This window comes from Homo sapiens, chromosome 8 (genome assembly GCF_000001405.40).
Source record: "Homo sapiens chromosome 8, GRCh38.p14 Primary Assembly".
In the NCBI taxonomy this organism is placed as follows: Eukaryota; Metazoa; Chordata; class Mammalia; order Primates; family Hominidae; genus Homo; species Homo sapiens.
In genome coordinates this window covers 57,217,915-57,235,466 of record NC_000008.11, presented here as the reverse complement: position 1 = coordinate 57,235,466, position 17,552 = coordinate 57,217,915, and the positions used below count along the sequence as shown (strand labels likewise).

Below are 17,552 nucleotides of genomic sequence, written 5' to 3'. Positions count from 1 at the left end.
CTTATTTTTGTCACTAGTTGACTCCGATACTTCTTGGCCCAAATGGAATACAGGATGGAATTGACAAATGGAATGTCATATGTGCAGTGCTCTAATGGAGGTGAAAATTAAATACTCAGAAATTTTGTGACATGTTTGTCAAACCATCGGTTGAAATATTCACACAATGGAAATCAGCAAATGCTACAAATCTGGGCTTTTTTTTCCTTCCCCCAACCAGGTTTACCAGTGCACCACTTTTATTTATCTTGCAAACATTCAGAATATCTATAAATATTCACAGACTCTTCTATACTCCATGTGTCATTCAGACTAAGCCAACGTTCTTAAAGATAATGAAGCTGTAAGTGAGTTGACTCAACTAAATCTCTCTCTCACCTGTCTCCTCCTACCCTTCTGACTCCCAGTCTTGCTCTACTTCATGCCACTGGGCTAGACATGCTCCTGATCAGGGCGTGTACCCTGCTGTCTGCCTTTTCTTCCTGGAGTGCTCTTCCCCAGGTATCTGCAAAGCTGGTGCACTTACCTCCTTGGAGTCTTTGTTCAAATGTTGTCTTCTCAGAAAGACTTTCTATATTAGTTTCCTGACTACTGGAATAAATTAGCATACATTTAGTTGCTAAAAGGAACACGCTTCTCCCCTATAATCCTCTAGGGGAGAATTCATTTTCTTGCCTTCACCAGCGTTGAGAGAATGCACACATCCCATGGCTCATGGCTTCCTTCCAGTCAGCAACTACATTATTCTGACCTCTGTCACCACATCTCTTGCCTCTGACTTTCTTGCCTCCTTCTTTTGCTTATAATCACTCTCGTGATTACACTGAGTTCACCTGGCTAATCCGGAATAATCTTCTCATCTCATGATCCATAACTTAATCACACCCACAAGTCTCTTCGCCATATAAAGATACAGACGTAGGAAAGCTATTATTCTGCCTACTACACCTTCCTTGAGCATTTGATATGTCTTTACTTCTACCCACTTCCAGTGTTGTGTATCCCCCTTCCATGCTTAATTTTTCTCTGTACCGTTATCACCTTTTGGAATATTATGTATTTTATATAGTTATTTTGTTAATAGTGTGTCCTGCCTCACATGAATGTAATCTGTATGACGGTAAGCATTTTTGTTTTATATCCTTGCTATATTATCATTACATAGGACAGTGCCCAGCTCACAGTAAAGATTCAATAGATATATATTTTTTGACAGAATAAATTAGGTTAAAAAGTTTGAGGGAAAACCTGACATGATATGGTGGCTTCCAAGTGATGGGAAAAGGCCATGTGGTGGGGCCTATAGAGAAAGCCAGGATGTTCCAGAGATACCCCAAGGCAGAGCTGCTTTGCTGACACTGAACTCTTTGCCCAAGCTCTGATTTCTAATGTTTTCTCTCATATTTGCTTTTGCTTTCTTTTTAAAATAATTTTTAAAAGTTTTTTCATAGAGACAAGGTCTCACTATGTTGCCCAGGCTGGTCTTGAACTCCTGAGCTCAAGCAATCCTCTCACTTTGGCCTTCCAAAATGCTAGGATTTCAGCTGAGAGCCACTGCACCTGACGTGCTTTTGCTCTTTCTATACTCAAAATTTTTATATTAGTTTCTGACTACAGATTGTAAACTCCTAAAACAAAATAACTGTTTTGTTCTTCATATTTCTTTAAATCTTCTACTCTGCATGGTTCTAGATATTGAATATGTAGATGCCAAATATTTGCTTTTCTGATGTATTATCTTTTATTTCTTAAAAATCAGCCCAACCATGTTGTAAAGAGGGATGATTTTCTTCTGTAGATATGAAAAATTGCACATGTTCAATGCTTACATCGTATGGTTCGATGTCACTACAGCTTTTTTGTTTTTGGCAGACTTTTGATACTCTTTTAAAACTTATTTGTAGTTAGCACACAAGGAACAAAATAAAGCTTTGAAAAAATTTTAACACAACAAAATGCACTGACGTTTAAAAAATATATAGTCTGGCCTTTACTTGCATATGCACATGCTCTGAATTGTCCTACTAGGCTGACCATGTATCACCTCTTTAGCTTGGATCCTATTGTGGATTTATTTACAAACATCAATTGCCTTTAAGCCAATTCTTTTTGCTGTATGTTTTGCAGTTTACAGTGTGGTTGGGGAGAAGAGATAGGAGAAAGCTAATAAGAGACTTTGCCAAGAGTGTAGTCTTCTTGGTTCCTTTTAAGAATGTGCTGCCTTTCTACTATGACAGCAGAACAGCATTTTGTTACTGACTGCCTAAAACTACTTAATCCCAGATGAAAGCATCACTTGCCAAACGTTTGGAATGCTGTTTGTGTTTTGTTGCACTGTTATTTTTGTTTATTTGGTTGGCTTTTTGGAGAGGGAAATTTGGAAATGGGACATACACAAAAGTCATAACCCATCCACATTCCCATTTCATTATTACAAGAAGCAGCTAGAAGAGCTAAGAATGGAGTAAAGAAGGGCAGTATGGCAAGCACCAGCAAAGAGTTAAGGGCTGTTGCTCTTTAAAGATTATTATTTTATTATTACCTTAAAAGTATGAAAGTTTTCCAGTCACTGGGGAAAGGAGAAAAAACATACTTAGTTTTATACAGTTACTTAATTACATCCAAAACACATATGTTGGAAATCATTTTTGCTGGCGCAAAGTATTTTAATGAGCAGGAATACATATAGCAAGGTTATGACTAGAGAGCTCAATTTATACATTTGCTATCTTCCTCAAACCCAACATGGCATGAAAGCCCAAGTTTATTTCAAAAGTATGTAACTTCAAAATTACAAATACCAAAGTTTGCTCTAATAACTATTTTGTACTTCTTTCTTAAATGAAATTAATTTTTATTACCTAAAGAAATGTTCACTAAACACAATCATTCACTTTGAGTATATATAGGTAAAACAGGAAGAGGAATCACACAGTAAATTATAGTTTATATTAGAGATAATATTCAATTGGCTCAAATAAACGTATCAGCATTCATAAGACTACAACATTCCCCAAGGTACTAACAGTAACAATGTCTTTTTTGAAAAGGAATTTAGCTCTGATGTTTTTAATGAAAACCATAATCTCTGATGTTGCAACACATGTGAAATGGGCATTAGATCTATCCTACCCTTAACCCCACAATTAATAAAGTGGCTGAAAATAATGTTAAAATAATTAGTCTAAGAGAGAAAAGATCAGTGCTCTAAATTCTCTCTCTCTCTTCGTGTGTGTGTGTGTGTGTGTGTGTGTGTGTGTGTGTGTGTGTATGTGTCGGGTGGGTTGGGAGGAGGCCTTTACTGTTAGAAGAAAGCTTTTTTGTACAGGAAGCATATTTCAGTTTGGACACAATTATAAGGAAGTTTAATTTTATAATCTATAAAACCAAATACCTTCAGAAATGGTTTTGCCATTTGTGATTTATATGAATAGTATTCTGATTAATGTAAAATTATAGGTTTGGATGTCTATATCTACACCCATTGAAGCCTCAGAGCTTCATGTACTGCTATAACTTTTGTGTTAACCCTGGGTAAAATCAGAATGGTGGTACAAAGAATAATTTTCATTTCAAATTTTACAGTATGTTTATCTGAAGGACAAAAAGATCTACTTTCCAGTGATATGTATTTTAAGATGTCAAGAGACTTTTCCTGATGCTATTTTATGATTATGGAGAAAATAGAATTCGTATTAGAAATCTCAACTCCAAGTTGGGAATAGATGTTTTGATACTTATACTGCTATGGCCTGAGACTCTGAATCATTAAAAGAGAGCTTGCTGGTTGGCCACGATGGTGACACGTGTAATCCTAGCACTTTGGGAGGCCAAGGTGGGTGGATCACTGGAGCTTAGGAGTTCAAGACAAATCTGGCCAACGTGGCAAAATCCTGTGTCTACAAAAAATACAAAAATTAGCAAGGCTTGGTGGCACATGCCAATAATCCCAGATACTCAAAAGACTGAGGTGGGAGGATCACTTGAGCCCAGGTGAGCTAATATGTACTTCAGGAGAAGGTTGCAGTGAGCCAAGGTTGTGCCACTACACTCCAAGTGGGCAACAAAGCCGACCCTGTACCAAAACAAAAAATAAAAATTTAAAAAAAGACCCTGCTATCTACAGATTAGGAAACACAAATAAGCATCAACCTAAAACCTTCGATGGCATTTTTGGTAGTTATATTTCCTTATTGCAGAGCAAAATTAATATATAAGAAATGGAATATTTTCTGTTGATATCTAGGGTAAAATGACAAGACCCTTCCTCAGAAAAGTAATAGTGTGTTATGAGGACACTAGATACAATACTCTTCACCTTCAACGCATTGCAAACAACTTGAATCAATCCAGTAACCTTATTAAGTACAAGCAACTAGTAAAAATGAAAGCTGTTTATCTAAAATAGCAAGCCAAGAACTTCACTGATACACTTTGAAGGTGGCTCAATAACCCTGTCAAAGCTTTGCTCCATCAGATCACAGCATAAATATCTCATTGGCCCAATAATCAAGGCCTTTAGAGTTTCACAGTGTTTTATCTCTAATAGCTAATACGTGGAGTATTGCTGACATTCTGCCTATAGTTACCCAGAAAGAAATCAAACTTGCCTTGATATAATATAAAAACATTAAAATGAATCTCTGCTGTAGAAAACAGAGTTCAACTATGGGCTCTATACAAAACCACTTAAGGTGGGAGGGAGTTGATTTTAGGTAACAGAAACAAACTTCTTTATTCGATTTCTCTGGGAAAAAAGTAAAGAAAATCCAAACATTATCTGTTCTGGTCAACACGTGTAAGGCTCAGTCCTGTTTTATTTCTCCCCTTCCCCTTCAAATCCTTTTTCCTTACACTTGATTCTACATACTGAGAAAAGTTCCAGTGCATCTAAAGGAGTATGTAACCCTGAGAATTTATCAACTTATTCCCATGACGCAACAATTGCTTAGACAGCATTTGGGAATGCTTCTATTCAGAGCTAGTGATAAGCCTCAAGAGGAAGTCAGTCTTATTGGTTTACAGTTGCATTTTAGGCTCATGTATAGAAGAGCTAATATAGATTTCAGAGTCTTACAGGTGTTTGAAATCTAGGCTCCACTTTTAGTACATGTGAAGTTTTGGTAAGTTACTCAATCTCTTTGAGCCTCAGTTTTCTGAGTACAGTGGCCACACCTTACAGGATTGTTGTGTGGATGAGTTACAATGATATATATAAATCTATTACAATGTCTTTATTCCCTCCTTCTTTCCTCCCTGACCCCGATTTCCCAGAAAAGCACACTTCTGAGGTCTGACTTCTGAGAGGTTACAGACACAATCAAGCTTGATGCTTGCCAGGAAATGAGGGGCTAGACTTGAGCGTTAGGGAACCAGGGAATGACATCTATCATCCATCCCATAAGACCTAGGAGGAAAGTGAGGCAGGGCAGGAGAGTGGGAAGTGATGCTCTTGAAGGCTACTATTAGGTAGTCACTGGGGTCTCTGCCCAAGGCACTGTTAGTGCTTATTTAGGGGCACATGTAAGAGATGGATGGCAGTAATTGTCTAGTCAGGAGTTTAGCAATTTCTATTTCATTTCAAACCTCATTTAATCCCTCCCATCCTAGACAAATTCAGTCAATTAAACTTCCTCCTGCATCTGTGACTGGGCCTCTTCATCATTTCTCCTCTGCAAGAGTATCTTCTTTGGGCATGTGGAAAGGTCTCAGTACATCTTCGGTGTTTAGGGACTTACCTGATCCTCTTTCCTCTTCGTTGTCAAACTCATAAGTAACCAAGGTCAGAGTCTGATTATGATATGTTGGCAATCATCACCTCTCATTTATGAATAAATATATTTTTATGCAGTTTGATGTTCCATTCACTTCGCTTATTCATTTGTTCATTCATTCAACACATTTATTTGTGGAGCATTTGGCCTAGGAAAAAGAAACCTTCCTTAGCATTGAGGGGGAAGAAGACAGAATGCACAAATATACAGGCTTGGTTTTGTATGGCTTTTGATGTTTCTAAAATAAAATACGATCTAACTTGAAGAGTGAAGACTTATCACTGAGATATTTAAAAATTCTAAAAAGTCAGTTCCAAAAGAACTTTCAAAATGTTTTAAACAATGATTATTTACGTTGGAATGGCTATGTAGCATTCCAAGATTTTAGTGCTCAACCAGCACTTCAAGTGCCTGCCGGGTGCATGGTGAAGGACAATTGTAGTGGGAGTTAGACAATGAATTGGAAAATCCCTGCCCAAAAGTCCTGTTACTGTCAAAGCATAGACAGCACCCTGTAGAAAGTGTCATGTGTTCTGAGCAAGAGGATACAGTCAACCAGCAAGTATATTTGATGGGTAGAACAGGAAAGTTGTTACAGAGGAGGTGCTATTTCAGGCAGTTATGAAAAATGACTATAGGTTTATGAGGCAGAGATGAGAGGCACTTAAACAATGTTAAACAACGTTAAATTTAAACAAATGTTAAAATTGCATCTCCTACCCAGGCACTTGTTTGAAATTTCTGTTTTATTTGCTCTTTGGAGATTACTTCTTGGTATACTTACATTTTCTATGTCAAGATAAAAAGAGAGAAGTGATAGTGTGTGTCTGTCTGTGTGTGTGTGAGTGTGTAGTATTTTTCACAGAATTTGTGTTTCCAAGCTTACTTGTAACTCAGGCTTGTCAGAGTTCTCATAACAAATACATGATTAAACCATATTACAATCTGTCACCTCCAATGTCAAAGTTTTATGGTACCTCAATGCTTCCAGGGAGGATGGTCTACCTTCATGATTTATTTACAGACCAAATCATAATCAAAAATAATTCCTAGGCTTATACCTATTATCAGGGGTAAGAAATAGTTTAAACACATTTGCATGAACAAAGGTAGTCTAATGTTTATAAAAAACAATTTGAAATGATCTTTCCCTTTAGAATACAATGTTTTTTAAAATTTCTTGATGTATATTTTTATATACTGTGAATTATATATTTTATATACAGTTGGGCACATTAGTGTCTTTGTGATATAGCAAGATTTTGTACAGACTTTTAATCTATCAAAGACAAAGCTAGATAAGTAAGCGGATTCTCATTTGTCTCATAGACCATTATTTTAGGATGATTTGAGACCACAGGAAATACTGACTCACTTTTTCTAAAGAGACAACTGATTTTCTTGTACTTTATAAAGTTTAAATTGATCCTCTCTCCTTTTGATTAATTGAAACAATGGGATTTCATAAACCTTAACAGGAAGATTCTTATTATTTATCTAACCAGAAGGGAAATGTAAAATATTTGGCTCTCTTGGGCCTGTTTTCTATCTCAACATCACAAAACATTGTTGTTACTTCCATAATGCTCAGCTTCAATTTTTTTTGCTTGCTCAATCAAAATGAATTACCAAATTTTTTTCCTCTTCCTGTCTAAAATGGAACCCCATTAATCCTCCTACCCACAGCCCTGGGACTGTTTCTTTTATTCCTGTAGCTTCTAATATCCTTAATTTTGGGTTAAAATACTGTGAGTATCTCACACCCCCTCATCCAGGTCCTGCGGAGCCTGTCTTCTGAAGTCTCTTAAGTCTTCTTAAATCTTCTCTTAAGAATTCTCATGTAGAATCAACTGCTCGCTGTTTAACATGGTCTAAATAGTCCTTCAAATTCTGACTACAAGTTATTTTCTTAGCCTCAAAAAAGTACCTCCTCTCCTAATATATCAAATAGCTTGCACCCTCCTGTCTCCTGTTCACATCTTCATTCCTTTCACTTTACCTGAACGGCCCTTCCCTCAGCTACCCCTCCTGGTGTAAGCTTCAGTGGATTGACTCGTGCTTGAGTATTTTATTGCAATTTGGACATCTCACCTCTCACTCCTGGCTTCTGTCTATCTACCTGTCTTGACCTGCCACTTGTGCTGCCTCTGGCTTATCTCCCTACTTCTGATTCACAGTGCTATTTGTTAGCTTCATATCTACTTGTTCTCTCAATTATTGCTCAGCCTGCCCAGGCCAGGCTTTTTGTCCTGTATTTATAAACTGCTATTGACTTGAGAGTGACTGTGCATTTCTAATCAAAGTACTGTGTATAGACTGATAGCTAAAATGGTACAGTAGAAAAAAATGGATCTGCCTTTGAGTGTATTACATTATCTAGTGACCCATAAATATTTTCTTCTTATTTTTATCATTATTGTTATTTTTAAATGGGAGGATCAAGGAAGGCAGAGTCTAGGCCACCAATCTGAACTTAGGTTTTCATCTTTATTAAGATATTTGGGATCACTGCAAATATTCTGAATTTTAAATGCTATTCAGCGACCCAAAAAAATAAAAATTGTGTTTTACCATGAACTGAGTAGGGTTTCAGCATTAGGCTATTGTGCCATCATTTCTATAAATGCGAACTGTCAAAGAAACATTCATCTTTTAACATGGGAGTATCCCAGGCCTCAGTCTTCAGCCCTTTTTCTATGTGCACTCATCCCTATGGGATCTCACAAAGCCTGATGGTATTAAATTCCATCTATATGCACATGATACATAAATGTATATCTCCAGCTCTTACATTTCCTCTGAAGTCTAGACTCCTATATAATTGCCTGCTAATTATTGCCACTAGGAAGATTAATATACAATGAAAACAGCACACTTCCACAAGGAAATCCTTGATCCTCCACTCTTAACCCCTGGACCCTCCACTCATCGGTCTTCCCCATCTCAGTAAATAATCTCTCTAGTGTACCAGCTACTAGGCCAGAAAACTCACCCTGACTCCTTTTTGTTTCTTACACCTCATATCAGCATACACTGTTGAGCTCTATTCAGAATCTAATCTCCTTACCATACCCATCACGTGCACCTTGCATTACTTTACGTTGTCATTGTCATGGATTACTGAAGTAGCATCTTGATTGATCTCCCATGTATTCTCTCATGTTCCCTGTACTTTATTCTTCACTGAGCAACCAGGGTAAGCCTTAAAAGCATAAGACAATTAATGTTTTTTGTCTGCTTAAAACCTTCCAATGATTTTGCAGATCAAAGTAAAAGCCAATATCCTGTCATGGCAAACAAGATCTCAAACTTGTCCCCTAACACTTCTCTGATCTGCAGTTCGGTCATTCTCCCCTTGCTTACTGCAATCTTCAAAGACGCCAGGCGTGTGTGCTTCTATCCCAGGGCCTTTGCATATGTGGTGCTCTTTTCCTGGAGTGCTTTTTTTTTTTTTTAAATCAGACAACAGTATGGTTTATTTCCTCTTTTATCCAGGCCTTTGCTTATTACCCTGTCATAAGAGGAGTATTTTGTGACCATTTGACTTCAAATAGTACCTACTTCATTCTCTAATCTCTTCTATTTTTTAAAGCACTTTTTATCACCTCATCTATTTTATATACACATTTTCCAGTTTGTTCACTGGTTGCTCCCACTCTCCCCACTATGTAAGATCTATAAGAGGAGAGGCTTTATTTTGTTCCTTGCTGTATCTCTAGCTCTTCAAATACTGCTTAGCAGATAGTAGGCATGCAGGTTAGTATTGCATGCATGAATGAGTATTCAAGAGATACAGTAAATCATATTAAAGGTTGTTTCAGTGGATGAGATGCTGAATATTCATTTGTTAAAAAAAGAAAACAAACAAACACATAATAAGCACCTCAAATTCTTTCTGAACATTTTCTCTCAAATTTAAGCTACTCTATTATCCTTAATTTTTTTGGTTTCTTGATCACTAATGACTCACTTACTGTATCTCAGTCCCATTTAAAGGCATACACTGAAAATATTTCAAGCTAAGTTCCAGACCAATGACGCAAAGCAAACATCACAATAGAGTGAGTCACACAAATTTGTTGGTTTTCCAGTGCATAAAGGTGATGTTTACACTATGCTGTATGTAGTCTATTAGGACAATAGGCTATTAAGTGTCCAATACAATGTTTCTTCTGCCAAACATTTCATCCTGTCATATGTTCCGGTTAGTCAAACATAAACAGGGCACGAGGGGGGGGCCCCCAACCAAAAATGTAAGGTGATCAGGAGGTGATGGTCAGGTGGTTGTAAACTGCATCTCTGAAATATTTACTGTTCGCAGCCAGTGCCAGCTGGTGCCAGGGAAAAATGGTTCCTGCCACAGACAGAAACACCAGATAGTGTTCAGCAGCTTCCTGATAAGCTCAAAGGAGTTCGGCTAGTGGGCTCACGCATGGTAGTGGGTGTAGTTTAAGAGCTCTAGTACCTTTCTCTGGCAACATTTGACTGGTTCAGGAGGAACACATCAAGCGAGCGTGCATACAACTCCAGTAACCATACTGCACATTCAGCCCCTACCAAGTGCTGATGGACCACTCTGCATGTGGACAACCTGCCCCAAGGGAAGCATCAGTGAGAAAAAACAATCCCCGAAGCCTGCTAACCTATGAGACCCCAAGTCAAAAATCAAACCATGCACTTGATCTCTCAGGTCACCCGTTTGGCCCACTTCCAGATGTACTTTATTACCTTTGGCTCTTATTCTGATGCTGTTTAATAAACTTTCACTCCTGTTTTAAAACTTTCCTTGGTCTCTCCCTCTGGCTTACTCCCTTCAGTCAAATTCTTTCTTCTTAGAAGACAAGAATTGAGGTTGCTGCAGACCCATACAGATCTGCTGCCATGATACAGGAGGTAGAAATAAATGATTTAGGATGCTAGTAGCTGCGCCAATAGAAAAGGGCTACCTGGGGGCCAGGCATGTCCAACACAGAGGCTCCATCTTCCCTTTTATTGTTACTATGTTTACAGTAAAAAAGAAAAAAAAAGAAAAAAGGGCAATGTGACACTGGCCAGGCAGAAAAGCCATCTGCATAATAAAAGGTTATGGTGGGGGCAGCCAGCTTTTCATGCCCTATGCAAATGGCACACCTGGTCAAACCAATCTTTTGTGTCTTAGGTAAATCAGACACCTCCCCACTTCAAGCTCATCTATAAAGCCCCTTGCACTTCACTGCCGAACCAGCAACCCATTTCTCTGGGACCCTTCTCTGTAGCAAGAGAGCTTTTCTCTTTCTTTCACCTATTAAACTTCTGCTCTGAGCCTCACTCTGAGTGTCTGTGGCCTAGTTTTCCAGGTCTGTGAGACAACGAATCTCAGATATTTACCACAGACAATAATGCCATTTCATTGTGGGGGCTGGTTGGGGATCCAAGGTAGATTCATCGGAAAGGTGAGTAGAGGAGTGGACCCTAAACCTTTACTTTGATTTTGAGGGCTTCTGCCCTCAACTTTAAAATTATAAACTAAAAACTGGGCAACTGATAGCAAATTAAAAAAACCTTTAGGGTGGCAACCATTCTCAATACTAAGACAACAGAGAAAACTTAGTGAATCCCCCAGGGCCCTCAAAGTGCTGGGAATGTTGACTCTCTTTTGAACCAGTTTTCTTTCACAGACAGCCTAGGTGTCATGTGGGTCTGGAAGAGGTCCAGAGGCAACTAATGCTTCCTTCCCAGGACCATACCCCACTGTTACCCAAAGGCTTCTGGACTAACTCCACCCTCTGACTGCCGGATGGGCATCTGCAACAGGATCTTGGAGCCTTTCCTATTGCAATTTTCCTCCTTTCCTGTCTAAGACAACCATGTCTCTTATCTACTGTGTGTGTGCAATGCTGCAGAAATTTTTAAAGCTCAGGGAAATAATCCTGTTAGGCAAGATTTGGAAATGCTCTGGTAACTGGGAATATAGATCAAGGGAGTGCCATTTTTGTGATTTTCTAGAAACAGAGGGTCTCACCCATCCCATCCAGTGAACGACTCTCTCTCTCTCTCTCTCTCTCTCTCTCTCTCTCTCTCTCTCAGCCCTTGGTCTGTAGAGCACATGGTATTTCAAGGTCAACAGCACCACCTATTGCAATTAGAATCCTCTCCATGAGACAGCTTGTCAGCCCTTTGCTGAAACATTCTAGTTTCTGAATTCTCACTTTTGCACTCTCTACTAGAGACCAGGCTTTATGCTGCTTCTGTGAATGGGAAAACTCAACAATGAGGGGGAAAATGTCCTCCAAAATGAAGTTTTAGCCCCAGTACTGTCCCATGAGCAGGAAAACCACCTTTCATTCCTTACATTATTTTAAGGCACCTATTCTGCCTCCAATTAACATGTTACTTAAATAGTAACATTTTATGTCTGAAAGTTAACCAGAATCACTGCCTAAGAATAAGTACATGACTCGAGGCCATGATAGCAAAATAGAGAGCTCAACTCAGTACACTGTCTCCATTAAAGAGGCCTTGCCCAAATACAACTATTACATCCTATTTTCCAAGATCCATCTATTGAGGAACCATACAGGTCACACAGGTTTACAAAGTCAAAAAAAAACAATCACCAGTGGAGAACCAAAGGTTACTAGACATTTGTAAGCATTGCACAATCAACACAGCTATTTTAACAGTCATATCAGGCAGGCCCAAAGGAAGTAACTCCCCCACACTAGCGAAACAAATTCTGGGAAAAACATCTAAGGCAGTTGTTCAGGCCCCTCTTGGTCCCCCTTATTCAGGGCCCCTTCCAAATGCAATGTCAGCCCCTCCAGTGTCATCACTCCTCATTCCACAGTCTGACGCTTACCACTGCAGGCAATGCCTAATGGAGACAATGTCACTAAGGTTCCAGTTCCCTTCTCATTGCAGAACCACAGGCAGATAAAGAGAATTAGGCTGGTTTTCGAATGACCCTGACAGGTATAAAGAAGCTTTCCAAAATTTAACTCAGGTGTCGGACCTTACCTGGAGGGATGTTATGCTTCTCCTCAGACAAACCCTAACTGCAGCTGAAAAACAGGAAGATCTGCAGGCAGCTGAGAAGTTCAGAGACAAGCAATATGTGTCCTACAGTGCGACAAAAAAACATATAAAAATAAATAAATAAATAAAAATGCAAGACAAAATAGGGAAAGAAAAGAAACAAGGGAAACTCCATTACCAAAAGGAAGAGGGGCAGTACATATTGACAACCCTGATTGGAACCCCAATGACTCAAGAGTTTAATAGAAATACTGAATACTTTTAATATTCAATATTGGACATTTTTAATATTGAAAGGCCTACAAAGAACTAGGGCCAAGCTTCTAAAATTAGTCTGTTTTAAAACTGCTGACAAAAACATACCTGAGAGAGGGTAATTTAAATGGAAAAAAGATTAATGGACTCACAGTTCCACATGGCTGGGGACACTTCACAATCATGACAGAAGGCGAAAGGCAAGTCTCACATAACAGATCAAAATGGGCAAGGTTTAGCAGCTCCATCATCTTTCTTTGAGAACACTCGACCGGTGGAGTAAGAATGCCTCAAGTAAGCACGTGTAAGATTCCAGACATCGCACTGTGTATGCCACACACCCCGCCCAAAGAGCTCACTGGCCGCTGCACTGGTGAACAGCCCCACTCAAGGGAAGGATCAGGGCAGAGGCAATGACGCCAACTCAGAAGCATGCCAATGAAGGAGAATCCAAGTCAAAAATAATACCATGAACTCGATTCATCAAGTCACCCACTACACCCTCTTCCAACTGTATCTTGCTTCCATTCCTTCCTGCTCCAAAGTGTTGAAGAAGCTATCACTCCTACTCTTAATCTAACTGTCCTGTTATGCCCTAGCAACAACTTCTCACAAGCCTTTTGGGGCAGTCTGAACAGCTGTCAGGATAGAGCCTAGTACTGTGGCCCTTTAAAGACCCCACCTACTTGCTCGTTTCCAGTCATTGCCCCTCTGGGAAGAGGGAAGATTCTTCCTTCACCCAGGGTGAGTTTTCACCCCTAACCACAAGTGCTCCAGAGTTTACTACCTTATGTAAACAAGACATTAAATGTAAACCTCTCATTTCCACTGTTTGCCATGACATCATCTCAGGTGTTCCTGGCGCCCACCAGGCAATCTCCCGAAGCACTCCTTCTGCTGTCCATGCAATGTTCTTAAGTCTTCTTTCTGCCCAGTGTGCAATCTTCCTGGATGGCCCTTCTGTCACACGTTCACGTCTGACAGAGGTTTCTTCTGCCAAACACTGAATCTTCTCGGACGTTCTTCTGCCAAATGTGCAATCCTGTCAGACATTCCAGTCACTCTAGGTAACTGGTCTGACATAAGCAGGGTATGAGGGGCTTCCCCCACCACCACGAGAAATGTCAGACAACCATTAGATGACGGCCAGGCAGTTGTTGAAATGTTTCTATGGAAGAAAACCATTCGCAGCCTGCCGGTGCCAAAAAAGGGCAGCCTCCCAAAGAACAAAAGAGCCGGAAGGTGGACATCAGCAGCTTCCCAGTAAAATCCCAGGAATCAGGTGCGTGGGCTCATGCAGGACACTTAACAGCCAGAAGGGCTGGGTTTAGCAGCTCCATAACCTTCCTCTAAAAACACTCAATGGGTAAGAAAAGAGCACATGCCTAAGACTCCAGGAACCACATGCACGTGTGACACCCAAAACCCATGGGCTGACAGGCCACGGCACTGGGAGACCCACACAAAGGAAGGATCAGGGGAGAGGCAAAAACACTACCCTGAAAGCCTGCCAACAAATGACACCCTGAGTCAAACCCTGCACTTGTTAACTCAGGTCTCGAAAGAGAAATGATCATTCTAAGCACATCACAGGAATCACATGGCCTTCACCAGTGATGGGTTTAGCAATAGGCATGTGCTGTAATACAGACCATATGATGTTTCCGGAAGGTCACTATGAGCTGCAGACTTGACTGCCTGTTGAAAAGACACCTGGGAAGAAGACCAACCCATCCACACTTCAGATACTGCCTTCAGACAACACGCCAACTGCAGCTGTTGCTACTCAGTCCACCGGAAAAGCACACATGAACTAAAAACTGCCCACGGCATGGCTGGAAGGGAAATGTGAGCATGACACAACGATACCAACACAACTCTGGTGCCTATGGCGTCAGCTGCTATTATTTGGGTCGTCTACTATTTAAAGCCACGAGCATCCTGAGAATGTGGCCGTGGCCCGCAAAATATATCCTCTACCCCTCCTGTTCTGGACTGCTCAAAAATCTTCCCTAAGCTCACTTTTTCTAGACATTCAAATTATGCCCAACGACGTCAGTACCACACTCTTTACAATAGCAACAATGTATGGTTCCTAAAACGGAAAGAATTCATGTGAGTCTCTGACCTTTGGAACTTGACATTCCTTCGGAAAACAGGGAATCTTCTACAAATGTTCCTTCTGCAAATCGCGTGAGCTTCTCAGACGTTCTTTCTGCCACACATTCCACCTTTAAGAGGTTTCAACGATGAAACGTTCAGTCTTCTCGCATGTCTACTCTGCCAAACCGGGGATCCGATCACATAGCTCTTCTGCAAAACATTCGACCTCATCAGAAGTGTCTTCCACCAACCATTCCATCTTGCCAGATGTTTCTGTGTTACTGTGGATGGCTGGACACACAGGATCAGCGCATGAGAGGGTCTAGCCCACACCCCACCAGATATGTCAGGTGACCAGGAAGTGACAGGGCAGGCCGTCGTTAAATTGCCTTTCTCAAATAAGAAATGATGGCTGGGAGGCAGCGCCAGGGACGGCAGTGCCCCCAACAGACAGAAATCCCAGAAGGTGGTGATGAGCAGCTCCCCAAGAAGGTATCAGGAGGCAGGCGAGGGGGCTCACACACACCTCCTCACAGGCATACCGGCCAGGTTTCACTACCCTATGACCTTCCCCGGGCAACATCCTACTGCCGAAAAAGACACGCCTCAAGTGAGAGTGCCTGCAACTGCAGGAAAAACGCCATGCCTACGGCCCCTCCCAGCTGTCAACAGGACACAGCCAATGTGGACAGCATACCACGTGAAAAGGGCAGCTCTTTTGGAGAGTGCAGCAAGGCTTTCCGTGAGTCCTCTCGCTTCCTCCTGCTTTAGCCTGTATCCTCTGTTTCTCTACTCACAGCCATGCCCTTCTCCAGATGCTTCCAGGCCTTCCAGGTCCTATTTGAAGGGAGAAATGTCCAGCTCCTTGCAGCAGCTAGCTGAAAAACAGGCTCCTCGTCTACTGTGAGAATCTGGGAAGTGGGAATCAGACAGCAGAGATCATCATTGTCTTGCTGGAACGCTCTCACCCACAGTCACTCTCACGTCACGCAGACAAGGACAGAGTCCGGACAAAGGCCACAGGTGCAACAGAACGATAGCACCCAGACCAAGGCTGATCCCAGGCTAACACACGTCCATTAGAGCAGGGAGGAAGGCAAGAACAGGGGCACATGGTAACAACGGTTCATTCTGGGACCCCAGGGATGAATGGGGCTTCCCCGAACCGGTTCACTCCAGCACCTCCTCTCTTCTCCAGTGGGTGATCATGACGAGATGGCACCGGGTTTGGCAGGGAAACAGTAAGACCAAGACATCCCAGAGCCCTATGGATGAACGGGGGATGCCCTATTCAGGATCCTGGGAAAGATAAGAGAGCCCAAGCATGATGGACACAGTCCTTGTAAGCCGCCAAAAACTTTCCTGAAACAGGACCTGGGAAAGAAACCCTGTGCGGTTTGAAAGGTTATTAGGTCTGTTAAATGCTTCTGGAATCGACGCTTTACCAGAGGCCAGTCAGGACCATTTGCTTACGTGTCATCTCTGACTGCTTCCACACTGCTACAGCAGGCTTCAGCAGACATGACAGAGACCACCGGGCCTACAAGCGTTTCCCACCTGCCCCTTTACAGGAAGAACTGGCCAAACCCTGCGTCACGCCGTGACTGGAAAGTCCTAATACTCACCGCTCATCTTCTGACTCCCCTGCTCAAAAGCTTCCCGTGAATCTCTGCAGGAAACCTGGCTGGCTCCCTATCCACGGAATTTCTTCTTTCTCGCTGGAGAAATGCAAGGTTATCAGGATCTTTATCGTTCCCTCAACCCACCCCAGCTCCTGAAGGAGGAATGATCATTCTAAGCTCATCACAGCAATCACATGGTTTTCCCCAGTGACTGGCTTAGCAGTCGGCATGTGCTGTAACCCAGCCCATACGATGTTACCAGAAGGCCACTGTGAGCTGCTGACTTGACTGCCTCTTCAAAAGACACCTGGGAAGAAGAGCAACCCCTCCACCCTTCACACGCTGCCTTCAGAGAACACGCCGACTGCAGCTGTTGCTACTTGGCCCGCCAGCAAAGCAGACATGAAGTAAACACTGCCCACAGCACAGCTGGAAGGGAAAACGTGAGCGTGACACGACGATGCCAACACAATTCTGGTGCCTATGGCTTCAGCCGCTCTTACTTGGGTCATCTACTATTTACAGCCACGAGCATCCTGAGAATGTGGCTGTGGCCCATAGAATATGTCTCTACCCCTCCTACTCCGGACTGTTCAAAAATCTACCCTCAGCTCGCCTTTTCTAGATATTCAAACCACGCCCAACCACTCTCGTACCACACTCTTGCCACCAGCAACACTGAGCTGCTCCTGAACCCGACAGAGTTCACATGAGCCTCTGACCTTTGGAACTTGCCGTTCCTTCGGGAAAACAGGCAATCTACTCCCAGTGCTCCTTCTGGGAA

At 41.6% G+C, this 17,552-nt stretch overlaps 1 long non-coding RNA gene across 1 annotated transcript; it reads right to left on the bottom strand.

Moving 5' to 3' along the window:
• Positions 1–2,512: 2,512 nt before the first annotated feature.
• Positions 2,513–17,191, bottom strand: LINC01606 (long intergenic non-protein coding RNA 1606). The gene is made up of 10 exons (NR_038235.2): positions 17,115–17,191; positions 16,772–16,864; positions 16,329–16,411; positions 15,844–16,057; positions 15,172–15,356; positions 13,860–14,068; positions 13,196–13,298; positions 12,771–12,872; positions 5,739–5,922; positions 2,513–4,075 (listed from the first exon to the last, which is right to left on the bottom strand). It is a non-coding gene; the product is annotated as a long intergenic non-protein coding RNA 1606 (long non-coding RNA).
• Positions 17,192–17,552: the final 361 nt, after the last annotated feature.